Source organism: Homo sapiens, chromosome 5 (assembly GCF_000001405.40).
Source record: "Homo sapiens chromosome 5, GRCh38.p14 Primary Assembly".
Taxonomy (NCBI): domain Eukaryota; kingdom Metazoa; phylum Chordata; class Mammalia; order Primates; family Hominidae; genus Homo; species Homo sapiens.
Window position 1 is genome coordinate 134,873,701 of NC_000005.10, and position 27,943 is coordinate 134,901,643.

Sequence of the window (27,943 nt, forward strand, 5' to 3'; positions counted from 1 at the left end):
ATGAGCCAGAGCCAATGATGCTCACGGCCCCAACCATGATTAAAAAGAGATTGCCCTGCAAGGTAAATCAGTTAAAACCAACCTCTCCTGCCCTGAGTGGATAGGTAGGGTTAGGGTTGCCAGATGTCACGAAGTTACAGGATGCTCAGTTTTAAGGTATATCCCTTATACTATAAGGGTTATAGTAAAAAATATTCATTATGTGAAATTCAAATATAACTGGGTATCAGGTATTCTATGTGGCAACCCTAGGTAGGGGAGCACAGGTTAGGCAAGCGATTAGAAGATTTGCAGCCTCCAAAGTTTCTGCACCTCGATGGGACACTAGAACAGGAAGGCTCCTGGGCCTTTCTGGCTCTGGGAATGAAGCGTGGAAAACCCTCCTTAGGCGGGCGCAGTGCTTCAAGTAGCCAAGCTCTGACTTCCGAGGGAAGAAAGGAGGCCATGGGCCTCTGCCAGAGCCATGCTCTGCACTCTGGGGTCAGCAGAGTTCAAAACGACCTGCAACGTCTGGCGCTTAGCTCCTAAAGAGGTCTCCAGTCCAGCGCCGACGGCCAGCGGCTAGAGGCCGTCCGCCCGACTCCAAGATGGCGCCCGCCACAGCTGCCAGGTGTTAAGATGGCGGCGCGGGGCCGCGCCCGCGCTCCCAGGCTCTCCTCCCCCAGCCTTCCTCCGGCTGGCAGCACGACTCGCGTAGCCGTGCGCCGATTGCCTCTCGGCCTGGGCAATGGTCCCGGCTGCCGGTCGACGACCGCCCCGCGTCATGCGGCTCCTCGGCTGGTGGCAAGTATTGCTGTGGGTGCTGGGACTTCCCGTCCGCGGCGTGGAGGGTGAGTGTGGGCCGGGGGCGGTGCATGAGATGATGGGGCGAGCTGAGGTCCACCCGGGCGACGCTCTGGACCTGCGCGAAGGCCGGCGGTGCGCGACTCGCCCCTTCTTGGCGTCTCCCCGGGCGCGTCTCCCCGACTTCTCTCCCCGCGCACCGCCCGCTGGTGGCCCGCGAAAGGGGGCCGGTGGGCTGAGGGCCGGTGGACGGGAGCCCGGGGGTGGTTGGGCCGCGTTCAGGCCGCCCTCAGCCCGTGGCTGGTAGCCAGGAGGGACAGTGCGGTAAGCGCTGCTGAGGCATACCCTCTGGTGATAAGCAATTTATTATTAATAACATTATATCAAATACCGACATTGTTGTGGCCGTATTAGGAGCCAGGAACTGTGCATCGTGCTTTATTTACATCATTATCCCATTTAATGCTCCCACAAACCCTGTCAGATCGGTTCCGTTTAGTGTCTCCATTTCACAGATGAAGATGCTCAGGCCCCGCCTAAGTTTGCGCTTCTGATACGTGGCAGAAGCCTGTCTCTCTGACGCCAAAGCCCAGTCTGGAGTCCACGCTGCTGGACCACTGTCTTAAGGAGGCCAGTCTTGCTCAGCTCCCTGCATGAAAAACAGACGAGAAACACGGGAGACTCCCGGTAACCCCCAACTTGCCGGTAGGGAAGGCAGCCACTCTAGAGGCATGGCGAGGGTGGAGAGTGGAGGCCTTACTTTCATGCTCCTTCACCCCACTCCTCATAGTCCTGTTAAAGTCCAGACCCTCGGTCTCGCTTGTCATTTAGACCTTAACAGGAATAGGCAGGTCTTTCTTTTCCCTGGGGTGTCCTGGATGGAGGCAGGACAGCAGAGAGTTGTGGAGAAGGGTGAGTCATAGTAACACAATTACCATGAATGAAAGCGCTCACTGTGTACCAGATGCTGTGCTCAGTGCTTTACGAGCATCATCTTTTGGAATCTTTACTGTTTTGTTTTTGTTTTTTTAAGGGATGAGGGCTTGCTCTGTTGCCCAGGCGGGAGTGCAGTGGCCCATCATGGCTCCCTGCAGCCTTGAACTCCTGGGCTTAAGTGATCCTCCCACCTGTTTCCCAAAGTGCTGGGATTACAGATGTGAGCCACTGCTCCCGGTTTATGTAATTTTTATTTTTATTTTTTTTTGAGATGGAGTCTCGCTCTGTTGCCCAGGCTGGAGTGCAGTGGCGCGATCTTGGCTCACTGCAACCTCTGACTCCCGGGTTCAAGCGATTCTCGTGCCTCAGCCTCCTGAGTAGCTGGGATTACAGGTGCCTGCCACCACACTGGGCTAATTTTTGTATTTTTAGTAGAGATGATGGTCCACCATGTTGGCCACGCTGGTCTGGAACTCCTGACCTCAGGTGATCCACCCACCTCGGCCTCCCAGAGTGCTGGGATTACAGGCTTGAGCCACCGTGCCTGGCCTTAGTAATTTTTAAATGCATATGCAGTAGATGTTATCATGCTCATTTTATAGAAGTAACTTAAGACTCAGAGCCAATAAGTCCTTTGACAAGGTCATACAGCCAGAAGTTGAGGAGCCTTGATTCAAGCCCATGTCTGCCTGACTTCAGAGCCCAACCTCTGCATTTTCACTATACTTAACTGCTAGCCTCACAGAGGGGATGGCATGGGTTGGATATCTTCTGTTTCAGCCCCTCCACCGTGCTCTGTGCCCTGTGTGGCTGTCCTGTGTGGAATAAATACCAGCTGTCCTACCGTCTTGCTTCCATTGTGTTGGAATGAGGGGAGAGTGAGGTCAGGGTATTGATTCTCTCCGCTCCCTCCCTGAGAAGTTATTGAAGGCTGGCTTTGCCCCCGGTGGAAAGCATTGAATTCTAGAAAGCTGCCCTCTGTGTTACCCTTGATGTTTCAAGGTTCTGTGACTACTTCTCTCTCCAGACTCTTAAGGTCTATGAGTGGTAACTGGCTCCTCCTCTACTGTTACTGGCCTTGGAATTCCTTACCATTGCTTTTCATTTCTCTGCACCCAGCCTACACATTAGTGGTCCCTTCATTAAACTCTCCTCAACTTGCCCAAGTTAAATGTGCTGTTTCCTGGCAGAACCCTGGCTGATTCAGGGTTCAGCTTGGGTCTTTGGTCATCATGGCCAGGCCATGAATGGGGTGAAGACAGAAGAAACTTCACCAGCTGATTTCTTCTCAGAGTAGCTGAAAATCTGAGGTGTTTTTTTTTTTTTTTTTTCTGCAGAGGATGCCACTGGCAGATTATGCTGGCCTCAGGTGCTGAGGCCCTGAGAGACTAAGCAACCTGGAGGTAGCAATGCTATCCAGGTGTCTAGGAATGGAAGCAAACTCCTGGCTTCAATACCCCTATGCCACTCTTCCCTAGGCAGTCAGCTAGCAAATTCTTACTGAGCACTCATCATATGCTAAACACTGTGCTGAGCACTGGGGATCCAGTGGTGAGTTAGAGCAGCAGGCCTTTGGGGAAGGCAGCCACTAAATAACTACAAATTACTAAGAAAATTGCAAGACTGAGAAATGCATCAAGGAGAGTCCCAGGGCGTTTTTGGGAACTGTAATGGGAGACCTCCCACCCTGGTCTGAGGGTCAGGGAATGTGTCCTTACAGAGGTGACATTTAGGGTGAGATCTGAATGAGGAGGATGAAGGATTTGGCAGGAGGAAGCTTCCCAGCAGAGAAACAGCCCTCAGGAAGGCTCTAAGGCAGGTGGGGATAGGAGGAGTGTAAATGATCAGGGACTAGAGGGATCTGATGGCCACAGGTGAGAGTGCAGACAGAGGCCACATTGGGGCCTGGTAGCTCTGCTACAGAATGCAGATGCATTCACAGGGTAGGGGAAGCCACTGAAAGAGTTTTAGCAGGGGAGTGACATGATCAGATATGCCTTTTATCTTTCAGTTTCACTTGTATTGCTGTGAAGGTCAGGGTCTGGAGGGGGGATAGCAGGCTGACCAGGGAGACCAGTTTAGGTGGCTACAGTAGTTGCCCAGACAAGAATTGGCTGTGGCCTTTGCTGAGAAGTGTTAGTTGGGATGGGGAAAGTAGATGGATTGTGAATGTGTTTAGCAGGTGAAATTTTTTTTTTTCTTTTTGAGAAGGAGTCTTGCTCTTGTCACCCAGGCTGGAGTGCAGTGGCACCATCTTGGCTCACTGCAACCTCCACCTCCTGGGTTCAAATGATTCTCCTGCCTCAGCCTCCCGAGTAGCTGGGATTACAGGCATGCGCCACCATGCCTGGCTAATTTTTTTTTTTTTTTTTGAGATGGAGTTTTGCTCTTGTTGCTCAGGCTGGAGCAATGGTGCGATCTTGGCTCATTGCAACCTCTGCCTCCCGGGTTCAAGCGATTCTCTTGTCTCAGCTTCCTGAGTAGCTGGGATTACAGGCACCCGTCACTACACCCCGGCTAATTTTTGGTATTTTTAGTAGAGATGGGGTTTCGCCATGTTGGCCAGGCTGGTCTCGAACTCCTGACCTCAGGTGATCTGCCCGCCTTGACCTCCCAAAGTGCTGGGATTACAGGCGTGAGCCACTGCGCCTGGCCTAATTTTTGTATTTTTTAGTAGAGATGGGGTTTCACCATGTTGGCCAGGCTGGTCTTGAATTCCTGACCTCAAGTAATCTGCCTGCCTTGGCCTCCCAAAGTGTTAGGATTACAGGTATGAACCAGCAAGCCCAGTGTGCAGGTTAATTAATAGAACTTAGTTATTGTGCCTTTCCATCTCTTTGAATTGTAAACACCACTCATCATAATCATCATCATCACCACAGCCATTTATGGAGTGTTTAACCTGTGGCAGGGACCATACACATCTTTTCTCATTTAATCTTCACAGTAGCCTCATAATTTTCTACATTTTGGTGGTATTGTCTCCATTTGCTAAATGAGCACACAGTATTGCCTATGGAAAGTATGGATTGCTGTCCCTCCAACCCTTGACTGTTTTTGGTCCCTCCTCATTTGCCTTTCCTGCCAGAAGCCATTGTGAAAACACCTGCAGCTGGTAAAGAGCCTTCTGAGAAAAGCTGGAAGGGTGTGAAGGTGCTGACCTAGGCTAGGGCTCCCTGGCAGAATTGGCATGGTGCCCTCACACTTGTCCTTCAGACAACTTCTTTGCTGCCAGTGATGCAATAATTATCACTTTATGTATAGCTCAAACTGCAGTCTCTTAAAAGGCACATTACCAGTCGGGTGCAGTGGCTCACGCCTGTAATCCCAGCACACTGGGAGGCCGAGGTGGCTGGATCATTTGAGGCCAGAAGTTTGAGACCAGCCTGGCCAACATGGTGAAACCCCATCTCTACTAAAAATAAAAAAAGTAGCCAGGTGTGGTGGTGCGCATCTGTAATCCCAGCTATTTGGGAGGCTAAGGCAGGAGAATTGCTTGAACCCAGGAGATGGAGGCTGCAGTGAGCTGAGATCGTGCCACTGCACTCCAGCCCGGACAACAGAGCAAGACTCTGTCTCAAAGAAAATAAAAAATAAAAGCACATTACCAAGGGAGGGTTCAATGACTGTCACATAGTATGACATTTTTATTTTCGTGTGGAATAATTCAGTGTTTCTTTTCTTCCTAATTCCTAAATGAAAACGTTGGTACCTGAAGGCATAAGATTTTTTTGTTCCTAATCTGTACTGTGTACTTAAATATTTTTACAATGTGCAGGGGGATGGAGGGGACAACACTCTTGAACTTAAAATACCAGCTCCATGCACCACTTACATTCCCTTTTGATTTTGTGCAGGGGCTATCTGAGGGTCATCAGAGAGAACCAGATTAAAATTTGTGCCCTGATTTTTTTATCCTGAGGTTCTTCGTTTTGGCATTCTTCATTTACTTGTGGAATCTAGAATGTTGATTAGGTAGCAAGAGCAAATCTCTGAAGAACTGTGGTGTTTGGGAGTTGGGTTGGACCCCAAACCTGGCATCCTTTCTTTTCCAGACTCTTAGCCTCTCTGGCTTCATTTCCTGCTTTGTCTTGTGGCTGACACAGAAAACATGTGTGTTTGTTTTTTCTTCTGATCATACAGGCAATACACACTCATTAACCAAAGGCTATAGAAATAAAAGGCTATAGAAATACCGCCAATGTGATCCCGCCCCTCCACCAATTTGGCAAAGCTCCCTTCCCAGGCACCCAGCCGCTTCTCTGGATTGTAGTCACAGAAGTGCTTGACCTTCTGCTAAAGACTCACTTTGCTGCCCAAGCCTTAAACTCTGTCCTATGTAACCTCCATTGCCACCTCTCCCTTCTTACCTGCCTTTTTTTTTTTTTTTTTGGATACAGAGCCTTGCTCTGTCACCCAGGCTGGAGTGCAGTGGCGTGATTCTCGGCTCACTGCAGCCTCTGCCTCCCAGGTTCAAGTGATTCTCCTGCCTCAGCCTCCCAAGTAGCTGGGATTACCGGTGCATGCCGCCACATCTGGCTAATTTTTGTATTTTTAGTACAGACGGGATTTCAACATGTTGGCCAAGCTGGTCTCGAACTCCTGACCTCAAGGGATCCGCCCTCCTTGGCCTCCCAAAGTACTGGGATTACAGGTGTGAGCCACGCGCCCAGCCCCTTCTTACCTGCTTTCTCATCAGCTTTGTGTATCCTCAGATTGCTCCTATGTTCCAAATAGCAAAATAGAAACCTCCCTTAGTCTTCCTTGCCTGTAGCGAATCTACCCTACCTTCCTCGCCCCCTTTATAGCTAGATTTTTGGAAAGAATTGTGTATATTTATCCATGTAGTTACCATTTTGGTTTCTCTATTTCTTTATGTGGATCCATATTTCCATCTGTTAACATTTTTCTTCTGCCTGAAGGAGTTCCTTGAAGATTTTTGTCATGTGGGTTCGCTGGTAATGAATTCTTTTATCTTTTGTATGTCTGAAGAAGTGAAGAAGTATTTATTTCACTTATTATTTTTTTTTTTTTTGAGATGGAGTCTCGCTCTGTAGCCCAGGCTGGAGTGCAGTGGCACTATCTCAGGTCACTGCAACCTCCACCTCCTGGGTTCAAGCGATTCTCTTGCCTCGGCCTCCCGAGCAGCTGGGATTACGGGCGCCCGCTACCATGCCAGGCTAATTTTTTTTTTTGTATTTTTAGTAGATACAGGGTTTCACCATGTTGGCTAGGCTGTTCTGGAACTCCTGACCTCAAGTCATCCACCTGCCTCGGTCTCCCTAAGTGCTGGGAGTACAGGCGTGAGCCACCATGCCCAGCCAAAATCATTTTTTTCTTTTTTTTTGAGATGGAGTCGCACTCTTGCTTGCTTTGTTTCCAGTGAGAAACCTGTTGTTATCCTTTGTTCCTCTCTACATGATGTTTTGTTTTTTTTCCTCTGGCTGCTTTAAAGATTTTTTTCTTTGTCACTGGTTTTGAGCAATTTGATTGTGATGTGCTTTGTTGTAGTTCATTGAGTTTGGGTTTTGTTGAGCTTCTTAGATCTATGGATTTATAGTTTTCACCAAGTTTGGAAAGTTTTTGGCTATAATTTCTTCAAATATTTTTCTGTTCCTCCACTCTCTTCTCTTGCCAGTACTCCAGTTACTGTACATTAGACCACTTGAAATTGTCCTACGGCCCACTGATGCTCTTAATTTCTTTCCATTCTTTTTTTTTTTCCTGTGTGTTTCATTTTGGATAGGTTCTTTTTATTTATTTATTTATTTATTTATTTATTTTTTTATTGATCATTCTTGGGTGTTTCTCGCAGAGGGGGATTTGGCAGGGTCACAGGACAATAGTGGAGGGAAGGTCAGCAGATAAACAAGTGAACAAAGGTCTCTGGTTTTCCTAGGCAGAGGACCCTGCGGCCTTCCGCAGTGTTTGTGTCCCTGGGTACTTGAGATTAGGGAGTGGTGATGACTCTTAACGAGCATGCTGCCTTCAAGCGTCTGTTTAACAAAGCACATCTTGCACCGCCCTTAATCCATTTAACCCTGAGTGGACACAGCACATGTTTCAGAGAGCACAGGGTTGGGGGTAAGGTCACAGATCAACAGGATCCCAAGGCAGAAGAATTTTTCTTAGTACAGAACAAAATGAAAAGTCTCCCATGTCTACCTCTTTCTACACAGACACGGCAACCATCCGATTTCTCAATCTTTTCCCCACCTTTCCCCCCTTTCTATTCCACAAAACTGCCATTGTCATCATGGCCCGTTCTCAATGAGCTGTTGGGTACACCTCCCAGACGGGGTGGTGGCCGGGCAGAGGGGCTCCTCACTTCCCAGTAGGGGCGGCCGGGCAGAGGCGCCCCTCACCTCCCGGACGGGGCGGCTGGCCGGGCGGGGGGCTGACGCTCCCATCTCCCTCCCGGACGGGGCGGCTGGCCAGGCAGAGGGGCTCCTCACTTCCCAGTAGGGGCGGCCGGGCAGAGGCGCCCCTGACCTCCCGGACGGGGCGGCTGGCCAGGTGGGGGGCTGACCCCCCCACCTCCCTCCCGGACGGGGTGGCTGCCGGGTGGAGACGCTCCTCACTTCCCAGACGGGGTGGCTGCCGGGCGGAGGGGCTCCTCACTTCTCAGACGGGGTGGCTGCTGGGCGGAGGGGCTCCTCACTTCTCAGACAGGGCGGTTGCCAGGCAGAGGGTCTCCTCACTTCTCAGACGGGGTGGCCGGGCAGAGACGCTCCTCACTTCTCAGACGGGGTGGCCGGGCAGAGACGCTCCTCACATCCCGGACGGGGCGACAGGGCAGAGGCGCTCCCCACATCTCAGACGATGGGTGGCCGGGCAGAGACGCTCCTCACTTCCTAGATGGGATGGCGGCCGGGAAGAGGCGCTCCTCATTTCCTAGATGGGATGGCGGCCGGGCAGAGATGCTCCTCACTTTCCAGACTGGGCAGCCAGGCAGAGGGGCTCCTCACATCCCAGACAATGGGCGGCCAGGCAGAGACGCTCCTCACTTCCCAGACAGGGTGGCGGCCGGGCAGAGGCTGCAATCTCGGCACTTTGGGAGGCCAAGGCAGGCTGCTGGGAGGTGGATGTTGTAGCGAGCCGAGATCACGCCACTGCACTCCAGCCTGGGCACCATTGAGCACTGAGTGAAGGAGACTCCTGCAATCCCGGCACCTCGGGAGGCCGAGGCTGGCGGATCACTCGCGGTTAGGAGCTGGAGACCAGCCCGGCCAACACAGCGAAACCCCGTCTCCACCCAAAAAATACGAAAACCAGTCAGGCGTGGCGGCGCGCGCCTGCAATCGCAGGCACTCGGCAGGCTGAGGCAGGAGAATCAGGCAGGGAGGTTGCAGTGAGCCGAGATGGCAGCAGTACAGTCCAGCTTCGGCTCGGCATCAGAGGGAGACCGTGGAAAGAGGAGGGAGAGGGGGAGGGGGAGAGGGAGAGGGAGAGCTGGACAGGTTCTATTGCTATCTTCAAGTTGACTATTTTCTTCCGTATTGTCTACTTTACCATTATTCTTATAGAGTGCAATTTTCATCTCAGACATTGTAGTTATTATAATTTACGTCTTTAAAAGTACGATTTGGGCTGGGCACGGTGGCTCATGCCTGTAATCCCAGAATTTGGGAGGCTGAGGCGGGCAGATTACTTGAGGCCAGGAGTTTGAGACCAGCCTGGCCAACATGGCAAAACCCCATCTCTAGCAAAAATACAAAATAATTAGGCTGGGCATGGTGGCTCACGCCTGTAATCCCAGCACTTTGGGAGGCCAAGGTGGGTGGATCACGAGGTCAGGAGTTCCAGACCAGCCTGGCCAACATGATGAAACCCCGTCTCTACTAAAAATACAAAAATTAGCTGGGCATGGTGGCACATGCCTGTAATCCCAGCTATTCAGGAGGCTGAGGCAGGAGAATTCCTTGAACCGGAACCCAGGAGGAGGTAGCAGTGAGTGAGATCGTGCCACTGCACTCCAGCCTGTGCTACAGAGCAAGACTCTGTCTCAAAAAAAACCAAAAAAACAAAGACAAAATAATTAGCTGGGTGCAGTGGCTCATGCCTGTAATCCTAGCTGCTTGGGAGGCTGAGGTGGTAGAATCGCTTGAACCCGGGAGGTGGTTGTGCCACTGTACTCCAGCCTGGGTGACAGAGCGAGACCCTGTCTCAAAAAAAAAAAAAAAAAAAAAAAAGAAAAGAAAAAGGCTAGGCCTGGTGGCTCGCTGGCTCACACCTGTAATCCCAGCACTTTGGGAGGCTGAGGCAGGCAGATCACTTGGGGCCAGGAGTTTGAGACCAGCCTGACCAATATGGCGAAACCCCATCTCTACTAAAAAAATACAAAAATTAGCTGGGTGTGGTGGTGGGTGCCTGTAATCCCAGCTACTCAGGAAGCTGAGGCAGGAGAATTGCTTGAACCTGGGAGGTGGAGGTTGCAGTGAGCCGAGATGGTGCCACTGCACTCAGCCTGGGCAATAAAGGGAGACTCCATCTCAAAAAAAAAAAAAAAGGAAAGAAAGCCAGGCGCGGTGGCTCATGCCTGCAATCCCAGCATTTTGGGATGCCGAGGCGGGAGGATCACCCGAGGTCAGGAGTTCGAGACCAGCCTGGCCAACATGGCGAAACCTCATCTCTACTAAAAAATACAAAAATTAGTCAGGTGTGGTGGCAGGCACCTATAATCCCAGCTACTTGGGAGGCTGAGGCAGGAGAATTGCTTGAACCCGGGAGGTGGAGGCTGCAGTGAGCTGAGATTGTGCCACTGCACTCCAACCTGGACGATAGAGCAAGACTCAGTTTCAAAAAAAAAAAAAAAAAGGGTACAATTTGATCTTTTTTTTTTTCCCGAGACAGAGTTTTGCTCTTGTTGCCCAGGCTGGAGTGCAATGGCACTATCTCGGCTCACCACAACCTCTGCCTCCTAAGTTCAAGCGATTCTCCTGCCTCAGCCTCCCAAAAAGCTGGGATTACAAGCATGCGCCACCACGCCAGGCTAATTTTGTATTTTTAGTAGAGATGGGGTTTCTCCATGTTGGTCAGGCTGGTCTCGAACTCCCGACCTCAGGTGATCTACCCGCCTCAGCCTCCCAAAGTGCTGAGATTACAGGTGTGAGCCACCGAGCCCGGCCAATTTGATTGTTTTTATTTTTATTTAGTTATTTTTTTGAGACAGGGTCTCACTCTTTCGCCCAGGCTGGAGTGCAATGGCTTGATCTTGGCTCACTGCAACCTCTGCCTCCCAGGTCGATTTGATATTTTTAATATCTTATATCTTGATATCTACTTTACTTTTTGAATGCAATACAGTTACAATTATTGTTTTAATATCCTTGTCTGCTAATTGTGACATGGGTGCAAGTTCTGGGTCAGTGTGGCTTGATTGATTATTCTCATTATGTGTCCTATTTTCCTGCTTCCTTATATGTCTGATAATTTTTTACTGGATGCCAGACATGAATTTTACTTTGTTGAATGCTGGATATTTTAGATTCCCTATACATATTCTTTTTTTTTTTTTTTCTGAGACGGATTTCTCTCTTGTTGCCCAGGCTGGAGTGCAGTGGCATGATCTCGGCTCATTGCAACCTCCACCTCCTGGGTTCAAGTGATTCTCCTGCCTCAGCCTACCGAGTAGCTAAAATTACAGGTGCCCGCCACCATGCATGGCTAATTTTTATATTTTAATAGAGACAGGGTTTCACCATGTTGGTCAGGCTGGTCTCAAACTTCTGACCTCAGGTGATCCACCCACCTCGGCCTTCCAAATTGCTGGGATTACAGGCGTGAGCCACTGCACCTGGCCCCGTATATATATTCTTGAGCTTTGTTCTGGGGTACAGTGAAGTTACTTGAGAACAGCTTGATTCTTTCAGGTTTTGCTTTTAAGCAAGCAAGCTGTTATTTTCTTTAGGGTTAATAGTGTCCCACTACTGACGCAGGTCCTTTTGTATACTCTACTCAATACCCTGTGAATTATGAAGTTTTTCAGTCTAGCTGGTAAGAAGAGGTACCATTCCCTGCTCTGTGTGAATGTTGGGTACTGTTCCTTCCCATCCTTTCTGGTAGTTCTTTCTCTGGCACTGGGTAGTTTACTCACATGCATGTGATGACCCGTACCCTGCTGTATACTTGGGGGGGCCTCTGCAGATCTCTGGAGTCCCCTCTCTAGATAGCTCCTCTCATCTGCAGTATTCTGTCTTGCAAACTATGGCTTCTTGGTCTCCTTGGACTCTTAGCTCCATCTCCTCAACTGGGAGAGTCTGCTGGGCTCTGCCTGGATTTCCCCTCCCTGAGCCACAGTGGGAACGCCATCAAGGCAGTAAGTTGGAGCAGTTGTAGGGTTCTCTTCATTTGTCGCCTGTTTCTCGGATGTCACTATCCTCTGTTGCCTCATAACTGATTTCCTGAAACTGTTGTTTTATATATATTATCTATTTGGTTGTTTCAGTAGGTAAGGTAAATCTGGTTCTTGTTACTCCATCTTGGCCAGAAGCAGAATTCCCAGATAATGTTTTTGAATCTCTGAATGAATCCACAGAGCTCTATGCCCTAGTGTGAGGTAGATCAGTAGGGTAACTGTAGTTCATAATAGCCTATTGTATATTTTAAAATAGCTAGAAGAGAAGAATTTGAATGATTCTAGCATGAAGAAAAGACAAATATTTAAGGTGATGGATATCCCAAATACATTGATCTGATCTTTACAAATTGCATGAATATATTGATTATCACATGTGCTTTGTGATTATCACATGTACATCTGTTATGCATCAGCAACAACAAAAAGCTCTACAGGGATATTCTTTGAAATCTTATACAAATGTGCATACCTGAGGAAGCCCCCAGACCTTCCCAACTTTGAAGTCAGTTGGTCACTGACACTCCAGTGACATGCTGTTGGCACGCAGAACTCATCACCCAGCGGGTGGTTTCTTAACCACATGGTGAGCTTTCGTGAGGGCTGCTGGCCTCACTGGTTTCTGCTGGTTGGTGCCTGGCACAAAGTCTGGCAGCTGGTGTTGAGTTGATGAGTTGGAGGGCAGGAGGCATTGCTATGGAGGTGAGTGGAGTTGGGTAAATAGATGTACGAGACTACCTGGGACTCTTCCCTTATCTGAGCATTATGCTCAAGACCCACCTTCTAGCTCCAAAGTGGGGGAAAGTTCTCTTCTTCCTCCTGCTGCTGCCTCTGCACTGCCGAGCCCATCTCCCAGCACTCCCAAGGGCAGCAGCCCAAGGGTGGCAGGCAGGAGAGCAGAGTCCAGCTGTCAGAGGCCACCTCAGGAAGGAGCTGCTGTGTGGCTTGAACAGTGTTCTTCAGGCAGTGTGGCTCAGCATCCCCGAGGTATCATGGCAGGGAGCCTACGGCTCGTTCTGGAGTAGCAGCCAGAAAACTTTGCTCGCAGACTTGGCTTTGCTGCTTACTATCTGTGTACCATCGGACACTGTGCTGAGCCTCTCTGTGCCTTGCCTCGTTACCTGTTCAGTGGTCTTGGTAACCCTTGTCTTGCCCATCTCACAGGACTGTTATAATGTGTGCAAAGATGCTTTGTTCTAGTAGAATCTTGCATAAAACCATGATCCTTTTCTTGGATATTATCAAACAAATGAAACTCTTATCAAAAAATGAAAGTGTTTATATTCTATTTTCCTAATGAGATATCTGAACTGGAATGTTTTTGGTTATAATCCACATGGCAAGCAGCAAGTTTAGGGCAGAGCTGTGTGTTTGTCTATTATTTGACATTCATTATTTTGTTTGCTTGTTTGTTTGTTTGTTTTTTGAGACGGAGTCTTGCTCTGTCGCCCAGACTGGAGTGCAGTGGCGCAGTCTTGGCTCACTGCAACCTCCGCCTCCTAGGTTCCAGCAATCCTCTTGCCTCAGCCTCCCTAGTAGCTGGGATTACAGGTGCCTGCCACCATGCCCGGCTAATTTTTATATTTTTAATAGAGACAGGGTTTCACCATGTTGGCCAGGCTAGTCTTGAACTCCTGACCTCAAGTGATCCACCTGACTTGGGGCCTCCCAAGGTGCTAGAATTACAGGTGTGAACCACCATGCCCGGCCTTCTTTGACATTCATTAATTTATTAATAGTACCTGCTTGTGACCTTCTTCCTAACCTGGGAAATGGTGAGTAGCTCTCTGATAGTTTAATGAAAGGAGACCTTTTTGTCTCCAGAGGGGAAAATTTCGTGTTAGAGGGGAACTGTAATTCTTTGGGGTTCATTTGTTTTGAAGTCAAATATGACTCTGAATGTGCTGGCATGTTTTAGTTGCAGAGGAAAGTGGTCGCTTATGGTCAGAGGAGCAGCCTGCTCACCCTCTCCAGGTGGGGGCTGTGTACCTGGGTGAGGAGGAGCTCCTGCATGACCCGATGGGCCAGGACAGGGCAGCAGAAGAGGCCAATGCGGTGCTGGGGCTGGACACCCAAGGCGATCACATGGTGATGCTGTCTGTGATTCCTGGGGAAGCTGAGGACAAAGTGAGTTCAGAGCCTAGCGGCGTCACCTGTGGTGCTGGAGGAGCGGAGGACTCAAGGTGCAACGTCCGAGAGAGCCTTTTCTCTCTGGATGGCGCTGGAGCACACTTCCCTGACAGAGAAGAGGAGTATTACACAGAGCCAGAAGTGGCGGAATCTGACGCAGCCCCGACAGAGGACTCCAATAACACTGAAAGTCTGAAATCCCCAAAGGTGAACTGTGAGGAGAGAAACATTACAGGATTAGAAAATTTCACTCTGAAAATTTTAAATATGTCACAGGTAAGGAAAAATTATTTAGTGCTTTTCTCCTTTTCAGTACATTTATTTTATGATTAATACCCTATCAACTTTGAAATGGAAAATCATGATCTTGATCATATTGTAAGCGAGATAGCATTTAATGGCTGCTTCAGTGAAAATCAACTTTGCCCTCTGTGATGTTTATAGGGAGACGAGGAAATATAACTAGTGTTGATTATGCTTTTCAGATGGCCTAAACCTAGTTATCCTTGGGCCAGTCTCACCACCAAACCTCACGATAGAAATCCCAGTGGACAGATAGTTGCTTGGCACCAAAATCATAGCATTTTTCCTTTTGAGACAGAGTTTTGCTCTTGTCACCTAGGCTGGAGTGCAATGGCATGATATCGGCTCACTGCAACCTCCGCCTCCTGAGTTCAAATGATTTTCCTGCCTCAGTCTCCCATGTAGCTGGGATTACAGGCATGCACTACCATGCCTGGCTAATTTTGTATTTTTAGTAGAAATGGGTTTCACCATGTTGGCCAGGCTGGTCTCAAACTCCTGACTTCAGGTAATCCACCCGTCTCGGCCTCCCAAAGTGCTGGGATTACAGGTGTGAGCCACCGTGCCCGGCCATTTTTCTTCTTCCAAATGAAGTATTTATTTATTACAGAGGCAATTTAAACATATCTGGATTACTAAAATTATAATTTACCATTATTTAGACTAGTAATGCCCCTGGAAAATATGTTATATTGATGAAATTTTCTCTTTCATCAATGACTGACAATTTCTGTGGGGTGGTTCAGAAAACAGAAGGGTAGGATGCATTCACACTGCTTATGTAAGAGAGGTAAATCCTGACTCTAAGAGCTGTGACTGTTGTCAGTGAGGGCACAGCACCTGTAGTGCACATAGCTCCTCCAAGGGCAGTGCTCGGCGCTGGCTTTGCATCCACTCCTGAGTGCCTGTAGATGCTGTGGTCTGTGGGACTCCCACAGGTGTCACTCACATGACTGGGAGAGAGCAGTTTAAACAGTCTGAGTTATGGATTAAACAGGTGGTGGCAGGGACGGTGTACCCTTTTTCTTTTTTTGACACAGAGTCTCACTCTGTCACCCAGGCTGGAGTGCAATGGGATGATCTGGGTTCACTGCAACCTCTGCCTCCCGGGTTCAAGTGGTTCTCCTGCCTCAGCCTCCCGAGTAGCTGGGATTACGGCACATGCCACCACGCCTGGCTAATTTTTGTATTTTTAGTGGAAACGAGGTTTTACCACGTTGGCCAGGCTGGTCTCAAATTCCCGACCTCAACTGATTTGCCCTCTTTGGCCTCCCAGAGTGTTGGGATTACAGATGTAAGATACTGTGGCTGGCTAGGACAGTGTACTCTTGAATTGATCTAACCTTTGGCCAAACATATCGATATGACTGCTTAGTTCAGACTTAGCTCTGCTGAGATGATAGTTTGGATTTGAGATCGTAGTCCTCTAATAATTCCATTTTAGATGGTTTGAGATGCACAATTCAAAGGTGGGGGCAATTGCCTGGACCCTGTGAGTACTTAGTACAGGCATACCTCAAAGATACTACAGGTTTGGTTCCAGACCACTGTGATAAAGCAAATATCGCAGTGTAGCAAATCACGTGAATATTTTGGTTTCCCAGTGCATACAGAAGTTATACTATATTGTAGTTTATTAAGTATGCAGTAGCATTATGTTTAAAAAATGTATATACCTTAATTTAAAAATACTTTATTGCTAAAAAATGCTAACGATCATCTGAGCCTTCAGTGAGTTGTAATCTTTTTGCTGGTAGAGGGTCTTGCCTTGATGTTGATGGCTGCTGACTGATCAGGATGGTAGTTACTGAGGGTTGGGGTGGCTCTGGCAATTTCTTTGAGACAGAGTATTGCTCTGTCACCCAGGCTGGAGTGTGGTGGTGAGACCATGGCTCACTGCAGCCTTGACCTCCCAGGCTCAAGTGATCCTCCCAGCTCAGCCTCCCAAGTAGCTGGGAATACAGGCATGTGCCACCATACCTGGCTAATTTTTTTCTTTTTTTTTTGTAGAGATGAGGTCTCACTATGTTGCATAGGCTGGTCTCAAACTCCTGGGCTCAAGTGATCCTCCTGTCTTGGCCCCTCAAAGTGTTGTGAGTCGTGAACCACCATGCCTGGCCCACAGTTTCGTTTCGTTTTTTTCTTTTCTTTTCTTTTCTTTTCTCTTTTCTCTTCTCTTCTTTTCTCTTCTCTTTTCTTTTCTTTCTTTTTTTTTTGAGATGGAGTCTCACTCTGTCACCCAGGCGGGAGTGCAGTGGCGTGATCTCAGCTCACTGCAACCTCCATCTACCAGGTTCAAGCTATTCTCCCACTGCAGCCTCTCGCCGAATAACTGGGATTACAGGCGTGCTTCACATGCCCAGCTAATTTTTGTATTTTTAGTAGAGACAGGGTTTCACCATGTTGGTCAGGCTGGTCTTGAACTCCTGACCTCAAGTGATCTGCCCACCTTGGCCTTCCAAAGTGCTGGGATTACAGGCATGAGCCACCACACCTGGCCTGTGGCCCACAGTTTCTTAATTCCTTTCACGAAAGAATTCTCTGTAGCATGCAATGCTGTTTGATAGCATTTTACCCACAGTAGAACTTCTTTCAAAGTTGGAGTCAATCCTCTCAAACCCTGCTGCTGCATTATCAACTAAGTTTATGGAATATTCTAAATCCTTTGTCGTCATTTCAACAGTGTTCACAGCATCTTCACCAGGCGTAGATGCCATCTCAAAAACCTACTTTCTTTGCTTATCCATAAAAATCAACTCCTCATCTCTTCAAGTTTTATCATGAGATTGTAGCAATTCAGTCCTATCTTCAGACTCCACTTCTAATCCTAGTTTTCTTGCTATTTCTACCACATCCGCAGTTCCATTCTCCATTGAGGTCTTGAATTCCTCAAAGTCATCCACGAGGGTTGGAGTCAGCTTATTCTAAACGCCTATTAATGTTGATATTTTGACCACCTGCCATGAATCACAGATATTTTTAAAGTCATCTAGAATGGTAAATCCTTTCCAGAAGGTTTTAAATTTATTTTGCCCAAATCCATCAGAGGAATTGCTATCTATGGCAACTATAGCCTTATGAAATGTATTTCTTAAATAATAAGAGTTAAAAGTTGAAATCCCTCCTTGATTCATGGGCTGCAGAATGGATGCTGTGTTAGCAGGCCTGAAAACAACATTCATCTCCTTGTGCATCTCCACCAGAACTCTTGGTTGACCAGGTGCATTGTCAACGAGTATAATATTTTGAAAGGAATCTTTTTTTCTGAGCAGTAGGTCTCAACAGTGGGCCTAAAATACTCAGGAAACCATGCTGTAAACAGATGTACTGTCATCCAGGCTTTGTTGTTCCTTTTCTAGAGCACAGGCAAAATAAATTTAGCATAATTTTTAAAGGCCCCAGGATCTTCAGAATGGGCAATGAGCAATGAGCATTGGCCCTGTGGTTGCTCATACCTGTAATCCCAGTACTTTCAGAGGCCAAGGTGGGTGGATTGCTTAAACCTAGGAGTTCCAGACCAGCCTGGGGAACATGGTGAAACCTTATCTCTACAAAAAATACAAAAACTTGCCAGGCATGGTGGTGGGCACCAGCTACTTGGGAGGCTGAGGCAGGAGGATTGCTTGAGCCCAGAGGCTGAGGCTGCCATGAGCCATGATTGCGCCACTGTACTCCAGCCTGGGTGACAGAGCAAGACCTTGTCAAATAAATAAATAAATAAATAATAAGATTTATTGTTAAATAAATAAATAAGACCGCAGCTACACTGGCCTCTAAAAAGAGTCCGCCTGTCCTTTGAAGCCAGGCATTGACATCTCTTGTCTAGCTATGAAAGTCCTAGAAGCCACCTTATTCCAATAGAAGGCTGTCTTATCTACATGAAAATTGATTTTTGAGTATAGCCACCTTCATCAATTCTCTTAGCTAGATGTTCTGGGTAAGTTGTTGCAGCTTCTTTTTTTTTTTCCCCATTGATCTTTGATGTTACTATGTTGTAGCTTCTCTATCAGCACTTGCTGCCTCACCTTGCACTTTTATGTTCTGGAGACAGCTTCTTTCTTAAACCTCATGAGCCAACCCCAGCTAATTTCAGACTTTTCCTCTGCAGTTTCCTCACCTCTCTCAGCCTTCGTAGAATTGAAGAGAGTTAGGGCCTTGCTCTGGATTTAGGCTTTGGCTTAAATGTTGTGACTGGTTTGATCGTCTATCTATAGCATTAAGATTTTCTCCATATGAGCAATAATGCTGTTTTGCTTTCTTATCATTTGCATATTCATTGAGTAGCACTTATTTTTATTTTTAAGCATCAGAGGTCACCACACTGGATGGAGTAGCACATTAACTTCCTTTAAAAACTTTTCCTTTGCATTTATAATGTGGCTGTTTGGTGTAAGAGGCCTAGCTTTCAGCCTGTCTCCTATGTTGGCATTCGGCATGGCTTCCTCACTAAGTTTAATCAATCATTTTTGGCTTTGATTTAAAATGAGAGATGTACAACTCTTCCTTTCACGAGAGATGTACAACTCTTCCTTTCACTTAAACAGAGGCCACTGTAGGGTTATTAATTCACCTAATTTCAATATTGTTGTGTCTCAGGGAGAGGCCTGAGGAGAGGGAGAGAGATGGGGAATAGCTGGTCGGTGGAACAGTCAGAACATAGACATTTACTGATAAAGTTCACTGTCTTCTATGGGTACAGTTGGTGGCGCCCCAAAACAATTACAATAGTAACATCAAAGATACTTATCATAGATCACCATAACAGATATAATAATAATGGAAGAGTTTGAAATATTGCAAGAATTACCAAAATGTGACACAGACACAAATTGAGCACATGCTGTTGGAAAAATGGTGCTGAAAAACTTGCTGGATGCCGAGTTGCCACAAACTTTCAATCTGCAAAAAATGCAATGTCAGCAAAGTGCAATGGAGTGAAATGCAGTAAAATGAGGTATGCCTGTATTTGAAATGATGAATTATGAAAAATATTAAAATAACTTGTAATATTAGGAAAGCGCAGAGGAAAGTTTAAAACTTTCTGCTTAATTCAGCAAGACTTAAAAAAAGTGAAAGTTTATAACTTGTCATTTGATCATACTTTTTTGCTGGTTCCTGGATTCATATGGTTCAAAATCCAAAAGGTTCCGAGGGTTCCTTCTCTCGCTGCTCCTACCCACCCGTTCCTCTCCCTGGAGCAGCAGTGTGTCCTGTTTCTTGGGTATCCTTTCAGAAAAATGTACTTTTACTGCTAACTTTAATGCTTGTTTCTTTTACCACAGGACCTTATGGATTTTCTGAACCCAAACGGTAGTGACTGTACTCTAGTCCTGTTTTACACCCCGTGGTGCCGCTTTTCTGCCAGTTTGGCCCCTCACTTTAACTCTCTGCCCCGGGCATTTCCAGCTCTTCACTTTTTGGCACTGGATGCATCTCAGCACAGCAGGTATCTTCCATTGGTGGGGTTTACGTCCATCCTCCTGGCTGATGGTTGCAGTTATTTGGAGGTCCTAATTAGTTAAGTTAGAAGCAGAAGAGGGGGGGCATGAACTGTGTCCTGGGATGGAAGGCAAGGCAAGAGTGAATAGTGAGGATTATCATACTCCTGAGGGAGCTGGTGGTGTCACTTTATGGAGGCCCCTTAAAGAAAGTGGGCTGTTCTCTGTGTGGTGGATTTAAAGGTGGCAGGTGGTAGCACCTGATGGCAGGGGAGGGGCCAGAAGACTTTTGAGGGCCATAGCCAGACTGAATCAGCACAATTGGTATCACAGTAGGATATTCCTTTGTGACTTTAAGGCGCAGGTTAAATCCCCATCCCAGGCAGCCCAATTCCCAGCACCCCTGTTTTGTGTCTACTCAGGATTTCTTCCCTTCCTTTTCTTTTTCTTTCCTTCTTTTCCCTTTCCCTCTTTCCTTCTTTCTTTCCTGCGTACTTATTCTTGCAGTCATGTTCTGTAGTAGGCACTCGATCAAGTCATGAATTAATTTAGCTCTTTAACATGACATTTATCTTTGTTTTATATTTCTCGTGTATCATTCACTGGGTTTTTGTCCAGGCTGGCCTTGAACTCCTGGGCTCAAGCGATCGTCCTGACTTAACCTCCTGAGTAGCAGGACTACAGGCATGCGCCACCATGCCAGGCTGGTCATTTTTTTTTTCTTTTTTTTTTTTTTTTGAGGTGGAATCTTGCTCTGTCACCCAGGCTGGAGTGCAATGGTGTGATCTAGGCTCACTGCAACCTCTGCCTCCCAGGTTCAAGTGATTCTCCTGCCTCAGCCTCCTGAGTAGCTGGGATTACAAGCACCTGCCACCATGCCGGCTAATTTTGTATTTTTAAACGGGGTTTCACCGTTTGTTGGCCAGGCTGGTCTCGAACTCCTGACCTTGTGATCTACCAGCCTCGGCCTCCCAAAGTGCTGGGATTACAGGTGTGAGCCACTTTTTGTCTTTTTTAAATGTTTAGTAAAGTAAGTTACAGAGAACTTTGTTGAGATGGTATATGTTTCTCCTAAGTGCTGCGATTGTGCCTGAGTTATAAACTGTTCTTCTCTTCCAAATCAGATGCTCCTTAGTAGGTCAGCCTCAACAAGGAGGTTGTGTGTAAATAAATCTAGAACATCTGAAAAATGGTCAATTGGTGGTAAAATGAAGTTGAGTAAACTTCCATTACTCTGTACTTGAGGCCAGGTGCAGTGGCTCACACCTGTAATCCCATCACTTTGAGAGGCCAAGGTAGAAGGATTGCTTGAGCCCAAGAGTTTGAGACCAGCCTGGACAACATGGCAGAACTCCATCTCTATAAAAAAAAATACAAAAAATTGACTGAGGATGGTGGCACATACCTGTGGTACCCCAGCTACTTGGGAGGCTGAGGTGGGAAGATTGCCTGAACCAGGGGAGGTCAAGGTCACAGTGAGCCGTGATCCTGTCACTGCACTCCAGCCTGGGCTACAGAGTGAGACCCTGTCTCAAAAAAAAAAAAATTGTATTCCACTGATTTTCATTGTGGGAATATAACTGCCAATGTTTACCTGAAACTTTTATGAAGAAAGAAATGGCTCAACAAATTAGTAATTTTCATATAGGCTTCTGGGTTATATCTAAGTGACTGGGCCCAAGGGAGCAGACTGATTGGAAGGACAGATCACGTCAGTGTCCAGCTTTGGTGGGGCCTCCACTGCCCCCAGGCATACTCAGTGCTCTTTGGTTCTGGGTCTCACACTGTCCCTCCTGCCTCTCCCGCAACTCCCTCCCTAACCTGCTTTCTTCTTTCCTTCCTTCAGCTCCATGTTGTATCTTAATTATGGAGACTAAGGCTCTTGCTGTTATTATATGGGCTGGGACATGTTTGCTTCTTATGTTAATATTTAAGTTACAGCATGTGTACAAAAGAAAAAAATCCTGGTTATACACTATTACTATTTTACTAATGCGGAAAATTGAGGCTTAGCAAGGTTAAATAATCTGCCCAGAGTTCACATTGGTTCAGTGGCAGAACTGAGGCTTCAACCCAGAGTGTTTTGACTTGGGAGCTTATCACCACTAGTCTGTATTATGTAAAGGTGAAATAAGCCCGCACAGTTATATTCCTTCTAAACAAGTCATCCTGCCCTAATTGTGAACATCCTGGTGTGTTTGTTAGATCATATACTCCCTTGTGCCAGCTTACCAAACCAATTGCCTACTGTAAGTTGATCTTTTTTGAGGGACAGGGATGGGCATTCTGAAGAGTTGGAAATTTTTTCTGTCAAATAAGTTGACACAGTGTGCTTTGTCCATGAATTAGAGTTTTCTGGTCTGGTTTGTTTAGACAGGAACTTAACTAGTGGAATAATTGTGCCATTGGTAGATCCATATTATAATTGAAAGCAACTCAGATTGCAGAAAAGGAGTGCCCCCCAGCCATGACCCATAAGCAAAGAGGTCAGAAACAAATGAAAAAGCCAAAAGTTTCAAGTATCAGAAATCTCCGTAGGTCACACGCAACTTCCTCATTTATTTCTGTCTATTCTGAGATGGTAATTGTATGAGAAAGCCCTCTATTAATAATAAATTCAGGTTTTTTGACTTCTTTCTCTTGTAGCCTTTCTACCAGGTTTGGCACCGTAGCTGTTCCTAATATTTTATTATTTCAAGGAGCTAAACCAATGGCCAGATTTAATCATACAGATCGAACACTGGAAACACTGAAAATCTTCATTTTTAATCAGACAGGTATGTGGAAGTAATGTGCTGAGGAAGAAGATATTCTATTGCTGGGGGTCTGTGCCTTCTGTGGGTTCTGATCTGCTATAATCCTTAAGTGAAGGATTCAAGACTGACTTTGAGTTGTAAAACTTCTCTTCTAATGAACTGTTATGATCCTGTTAAATACTTCCCAATCAGTATGAAGTTTAACATGAATAGGTAATTTTAATTATTATAGATACTTTTTTTTTCCCTTTTTTTTTTTTTTTTGAGTCTTGCTCTGTCGCCCAGGCTGGGGTGCAGTGGTGCGATCTTGGCTCACTGCAACCTCCACCTCCCGGGTTCACGCCATTCTCCTGCCTCAGCCTCCCGAGTAGCTGGGACTACAGGCGCCCGCCACCATACCCGGCTAATTTTTTGTATTTTTAATAGAGACGGGGTTTCACCGTGTTAGCCAGGATGGTCTCGATCTCCTGACCTCGTGATCCACCCACCTCGGCCTCCCAAAGTGCTGGGATTACAGGCGTGAGCCACCGCACCCAGCCTTTTTTTCCTTTTTTTTGAGGCAGAGTCTCACTCTGTTGCCCAGGCTGGAGTGCAGTGGCATGATCTCAGTTCACTTCAGCCTCCGCCTCCTAGGTTCAAGTGATTTGCGTGCCTCAGCCTCCAGAGTAGTTGGGATTACAGGCGTGTGCCCAGCTAATTTTTGTATTTTTAGTAGAGACAGGGTTTCGCCTTATTGGCCAGGCTGGTCTCGATCTCCTGGCCTCAAGTGATCCACCCGCCTCGGCCTCCCAAAGTGCTGGGATTTTACAGGTGTGAGCCACTGTGCCCGGTCTATTATAGATACTTTATTGTTTGATTGACTGAGACGGAGTCTCGCTCTGTCACCCAGACTGGAGTGCAATGGCATAATCTCAGTTCACTGCAACCTCTGCCTCCTGGGTTAAAACGATTCTCCTGCCTCAGCCTTTCTAGTAGCTGGGATTATAGGTGCGCACCACCACACCTGGCTAATTTTTGTATTTTTTAGTAGAGACAGGGTTTCGCCCTGTTGGCCAGGCTGGTCTTGCACTCCTAACCTCAAGTGATCTGCCTGCCTTGGCCTCCCAGAGTGCTCAGATTACAGGTGTGAGCCACCGTGCCTGGCCTATTATAGATACTTTAAAACAAGTGTTACTGAAATATAATTCACATACCATACACTTTACTTATAACTTTTAACGCACATTTTTCACTTAATATTTACACAAAGATATGCATAAGTCATGAGTGTACAGGGTGATGAATTTTCACAAAGTGAACACCCTGGGTAACCACTCTGATCAAGAAACAGAGCACTGGCTTATGCCTGTAAACCCAGGAGTTTGGGAAGCCTGTGCGGGTGGATCTCTTGAGGCCAGGAGTTCGAGACCAGCCTGGCCAACATGGCGAAACCCTGTCTCTACTAAAAATACAAAAACTAGCTGGGGATGGTGGTGGGTGCTTGTAGTCGCAGCTACTCGGGAGGCTGAGGCATGAAAATTGCTTGAGCCCAGGAGGCAGAGGCTGCAGTGAGCTGAGATCACAGTACTGCATTCCAGCCTGGTTGACAGAGTGAGACTCCGTCTCAAAAAAAAAAGAAAAAAAAAAAGAGAAACAGAACATTACCAGCCTCCCTTCAGCACCACTGCTCCTGCCTTCCCCAAAGATAAAGATAACCACAGTCTTGACTCCTAATATCATAGACTGTGTTACTTGTTTTGGACTTCATATTAATGGAGACATGCAGGATGTTTTATTTTGTGTCTGTTTTTTTCATCCAACAGTATGCTTGTGAGATGCACCTGCATTGTCATGTATGGTTATGTTTTGTTCTTTTTCTTTGCTGCTACTGTTCCATTTATTAATCCATTTGTAGATGCTATCTTAGTTCCTTAATATTTGCCAAAACATATGGCCTTATTTTTTATTGTTTGTAAAACATTGTAAAGCATTGTAAATTGAAAAAATTACCTCCATTGGAAAAGTTCATTCCTCTAAAGCCTCACTGTCTCAATTGTGAGCATCCCACTCTTCCCAAAGTATGCTCACTGGAAATAAATAAAAATTATAACACACATTGCATATATATTAAATTGCATATAATCATTTTAGCTAACACTAAAGAAAAAAGAGCTGAGTTGGCTGATAGGAGTAAAAGTAGGATATTACAAGGTGGTTAGCTAGTCCAAGTCTTGTCATGGATCCCTGATTGTCATTTCGATTGATGTGTGGAGAGGGAGCCATTTTATTCAGTGCTCTAAGAAAACCTAGAACACAAATCTGGGAGTCAGAGCATCTTTGGTAATCCCTGTTTCCGTTGGTGGCTTGTTGTTATAACAGTTCTTTCAGTAAATTATTAAAAGCATTTTGGGGCTGGGTGCGGTGGCTCACACCTGTGATCCCAACACTTTGGGAGGCTGAGGTGGGCAGATCAACTGAGGTCTGGAGTTCGAGACCAGCCTGGCCAACATGGTGAAACCTCGTCTCTACTAAAAATACAAAAAAATTAGCCAGGCATGGCGGTGTGTGTCTGTAATCCCAGCTACTTGGGAGGGTGAGGCAAGAGAATCGCTCGAACCCAGGAGGCGGAGGTTGCAGTGAGCTGAGATCGCACCACTGCACTCCAGCCTGGGAGACAGAGCAGGACTTCATCACAGAAAAAAAAAAAAGCATTTCGAATTTAGCATTACTTAACCTGTGAAAACATTCTGTAGACACCTGAGAGGAGTTTTACTAGTTACTTACTGAACTTTGGTCTCAAAAGACACCAAAATACAACTCTTATAAACACATTGACTAAGAAACTTCTGATGAGTTCACAGAAATTCTAGTGTTTTAGTTGTGAACAGCTGAATGGGTTCCTGATCCTTTGATGCAGTGGGGAGAAAGGCAACTTACAAATTACACTGATAGGCAAGTGAAATCCATCCCATATATTTATATATATACTAGTGGCAATGCTTATTTTAGGACTGCATGTCATTTTGCATACCATACATAATACTTGAGAAAAATCTGTGGTGGGTGCTTTTTCTGCCTGATTTGAAACCAGTGATTTTTCTTTCAGGTATAGAAGCCAAGAAGAATGTGGTGGTAACTCAAGCCGACCAAATAGGCCCTCTTCCCAGCACTTTGATAAAAAGTGTGGACTGGTTGCTTGTATTTTCCTTATTCTTTTTAATTAGTTTTATTATGTATGCTACCATTCGAACTGAGAGTATTCGGTGGCTAATTCCAGGACAAGAGCAGGAACATGTGGAGTAGTGATGGTCTGAAAGAAGTTGGAAAGAGGAACTTCAATCCTTCGTTTCAGAAATTAGTGCTACAGTTTCATACATTTTCTCCAGTGACGTGTTGACTTGAAACTTCAGGCAGATTAAAAGAATCATTTGTTGAACAACTGAATGTATAAAAAAATTATAAACTGGTGTTTTAACTAGTATTGCAATAAGCAAATGCAAAAATATTCAATAGATGCACTATTCTTGTTTTTACTGCATGAACGTAATCCAGTATTTGGAAAGTAATCCAGTTTGAAATGTGAAGATGTATTCCGGCAGAATAGTGAGTAGAATGACATGCTTACTATACAGAAGGCAAAAATAGGACTCTCAGGTAATAGTTTAAGGAAACCCTTGATTCCTTATATATGTTTAAGAAGGTTAGTTTTCTGTTTCTTTGCAGTTTTTCTTCTAGAGTCCATAGCAGGAAAGTATGTAACCAGAATTGGTTAGTGTGACCCCCTCAAGTAGCAAGTGATGGAAAATAAGAGTCAAATACCTTGATGTTTGTGATCTCTAACTCAAAAAATTTGAAGTGTTTTAAGTTGTTTCTGGGTAAGGGAGATGTTAGGAGAAAGGAAATGCTGTAACTAAAGCTCAATTATTATCAGTTCTATGCTAACGTATACATTTTAATCATAGTTACCTAAGCAGCATGCATTAATTGAACCTTAAAATGTTCCCAGCAGGCTGGGCGCAGTGGCTCATGCCTGTAATCCCAGCACTTTGGGAGGCCAAGGCGGGAGGATCACTTGAGGTTAGGACTTTTGAGACCAGCCTGGCCAACTTGGTGAAACCCTCTCTCTACTAAAAATACAAAAAATTAGCTGGGCGTGGTGGCGGGCACCTGTAATCCCAGCTACTTGGGAAAGCTGAGGCATGAGAATCACTTGAACCCGGGAGGCAGAGGTTGCAGTGAGCTGAGATCATGCCACTGCACTCCAGCCTGTGCAACCAGAGCGAAACTCCATCTCAAAAACAAACAAAAAGAAGTATTGAAGTGTAAAACACTGTTCTTGCCCACAAGTTGATTCTAGTCTAGTTCAAGACACATGTTTAGTAAAGAGACAACATGTAATTTAAACAAACTTTTTTTTTTTTTTTAGACAAAGTCTCACTCTGTCACCTAGGCTGGAGTGCAATGGTGCAATCTTGGCTCACTGCAACCTCTGCTTCCCGGGTTCAAGCGATTCTCCAGCCTCAGCCTCCTGAGTAGCTGGGACTATGGGCCTGTGCCATCACACCCAGCTAATTTTTCTATTTTTAGTAGAGATGGGGTTTTGCCATGTTGGCCAGGCTGGTCTCAAACTGCTGACTTCAGGTGATCCACCCGCCTCAGCCTCCCAAAGTGTTGGGATTACAGGTGTGAGCCACTGCGCCTGGCCTAAACAAACTTTTTGAAAAGCTGTTTCTAAAAGATTCCTTAAATTCAGATATGACAGCTAATTACCTCATCATAAATTACTTTTATACTAATTGTTTCCAGGGTTTTAGAGTAGTTGAATGTTTATTTCACAAGGCACCCTAAATTCTATAGAAATAAAACCTCAGATGAGTCTCCTTCTTAGAGTGTTACAATGAATGGGAGTTTACAACTTTTATGTGTCATGTTTCCAACAGCTGTGTTTGGGGTGGTCACTGGCAGGAGGGGACCGTATCTCAGAATGGCACATTATTTCTATTTTACACATGAGCAAATTGAGGCATAGAGAGTTAGATAACTTGCCCAGGTTACACAGATTGTAAGTTGATGAAGCTGGGATTTGAATCTTCACATGTGTGTACTTATAAATACAAATGTAAGGAAAACTCTAGTGAGTCCACCTCTTATATTGAGTTATTACTGTGTGAGTGCCAAGTACTGTTTTAGATGCTTTACATATACTATTTTGTTTAATATCCTTTTTAAAGAATAAACTAGGTTGGTGCAGTAGCTCACGC

The 27,943-nt window shown here is 46.1% G+C and overlaps 1 protein-coding gene and 1 long non-coding RNA gene across 3 annotated transcripts, besides 7 other annotated features; one reads left to right on the top strand and one right to left on the bottom strand.

Annotated features, from left to right (window-relative positions):
• On the top strand, window positions 70-27,935 carry TXNDC15 (thioredoxin domain containing 15). Of its 2 annotated transcripts, none has more exons than NM_001350735.2 (5): window positions 70-783; window positions 13,995-14,482; window positions 19,792-19,955; window positions 22,594-22,724; window positions 25,789-27,935. In NM_001350735.2, exons 2-5 carry the CDS (start codon window positions 14,096-14,098, stop codon window positions 25,983-25,985), a joined length of 879 nt encoding a protein of 292 aa, NP_001337664.1. In that variant the 5' UTR covers window positions 70-783; window positions 13,995-14,095; the 3' UTR covers window positions 25,986-27,935. The 2 variants fall into 2 exon arrangements, with proteins under 2 accessions (NP_001337664.1, NP_078991.3); NM_024715.4 differs by having other exon boundaries at window positions 671-830.
• Window positions 347-396: an enhancer, noted in NCBI's record as "active region_23163". NCBI's record gives its function as "activates an Ori minimal core promoter by ATAC-STARR-seq in GM12878 lymphoblastoid cells {active_cell/tissue: GM12878}" and the evidence as "EXISTENCE:reporter gene assay evidence [ECO:0000049][PMID:35858748]".
• Window positions 417-706: an enhancer, noted in NCBI's record as "active region_23164". NCBI's record gives its function as "activates an Ori minimal core promoter by ATAC-STARR-seq in GM12878 lymphoblastoid cells {active_cell/tissue: GM12878}" and the evidence as "EXISTENCE:reporter gene assay evidence [ECO:0000049][PMID:35858748]".
• Window positions 417-1,343: a biological region, named in NCBI's record as "H3K27ac-H3K4me1 hESC enhancer GRCh37_chr5:134210028-134210733".
• Window positions 638-1,343: an enhancer, noted in NCBI's record as "H3K27ac-H3K4me1 hESC enhancer chr5:134210028-134210733 (GRCh37/hg19 assembly coordinates)". NCBI's record gives its function as "activates a minimal SCP1, AML or CMV promoter by ChIP-STARR-seq in primed H9 embryonic stem cells {active_cell/tissue: H9 hESC(primed)}" and the evidence as "EXISTENCE:reporter gene assay evidence [ECO:0000049][PMID:30033119]".
• Window positions 947-1,056: a silencer, noted in NCBI's record as "silent region_16370". NCBI's record gives its function as "represses an Ori minimal core promoter by ATAC-STARR-seq in GM12878 lymphoblastoid cells {active_cell/tissue: GM12878}" and the evidence as "EXISTENCE:reporter gene assay evidence [ECO:0000049][PMID:35858748]".
• Window positions 1,131-1,698, bottom strand: LOC124901071 (uncharacterized). Its single transcript, XR_007058943.1, has 2 exons — window positions 1,544-1,698; window positions 1,131-1,432 (listed from the first exon to the last, which is right to left on the bottom strand). It is a non-coding gene; the product is annotated as an uncharacterized LOC124901071 (long non-coding RNA).
• Window positions 1,237-1,306: an enhancer, noted in NCBI's record as "active region_23165". NCBI's record gives its function as "activates an Ori minimal core promoter by ATAC-STARR-seq in GM12878 lymphoblastoid cells {active_cell/tissue: GM12878}" and the evidence as "EXISTENCE:reporter gene assay evidence [ECO:0000049][PMID:35858748]".
• Window positions 3,717-3,776: an enhancer, noted in NCBI's record as "active region_23166". NCBI's record gives its function as "activates an Ori minimal core promoter by ATAC-STARR-seq in GM12878 lymphoblastoid cells {active_cell/tissue: GM12878}" and the evidence as "EXISTENCE:reporter gene assay evidence [ECO:0000049][PMID:35858748]".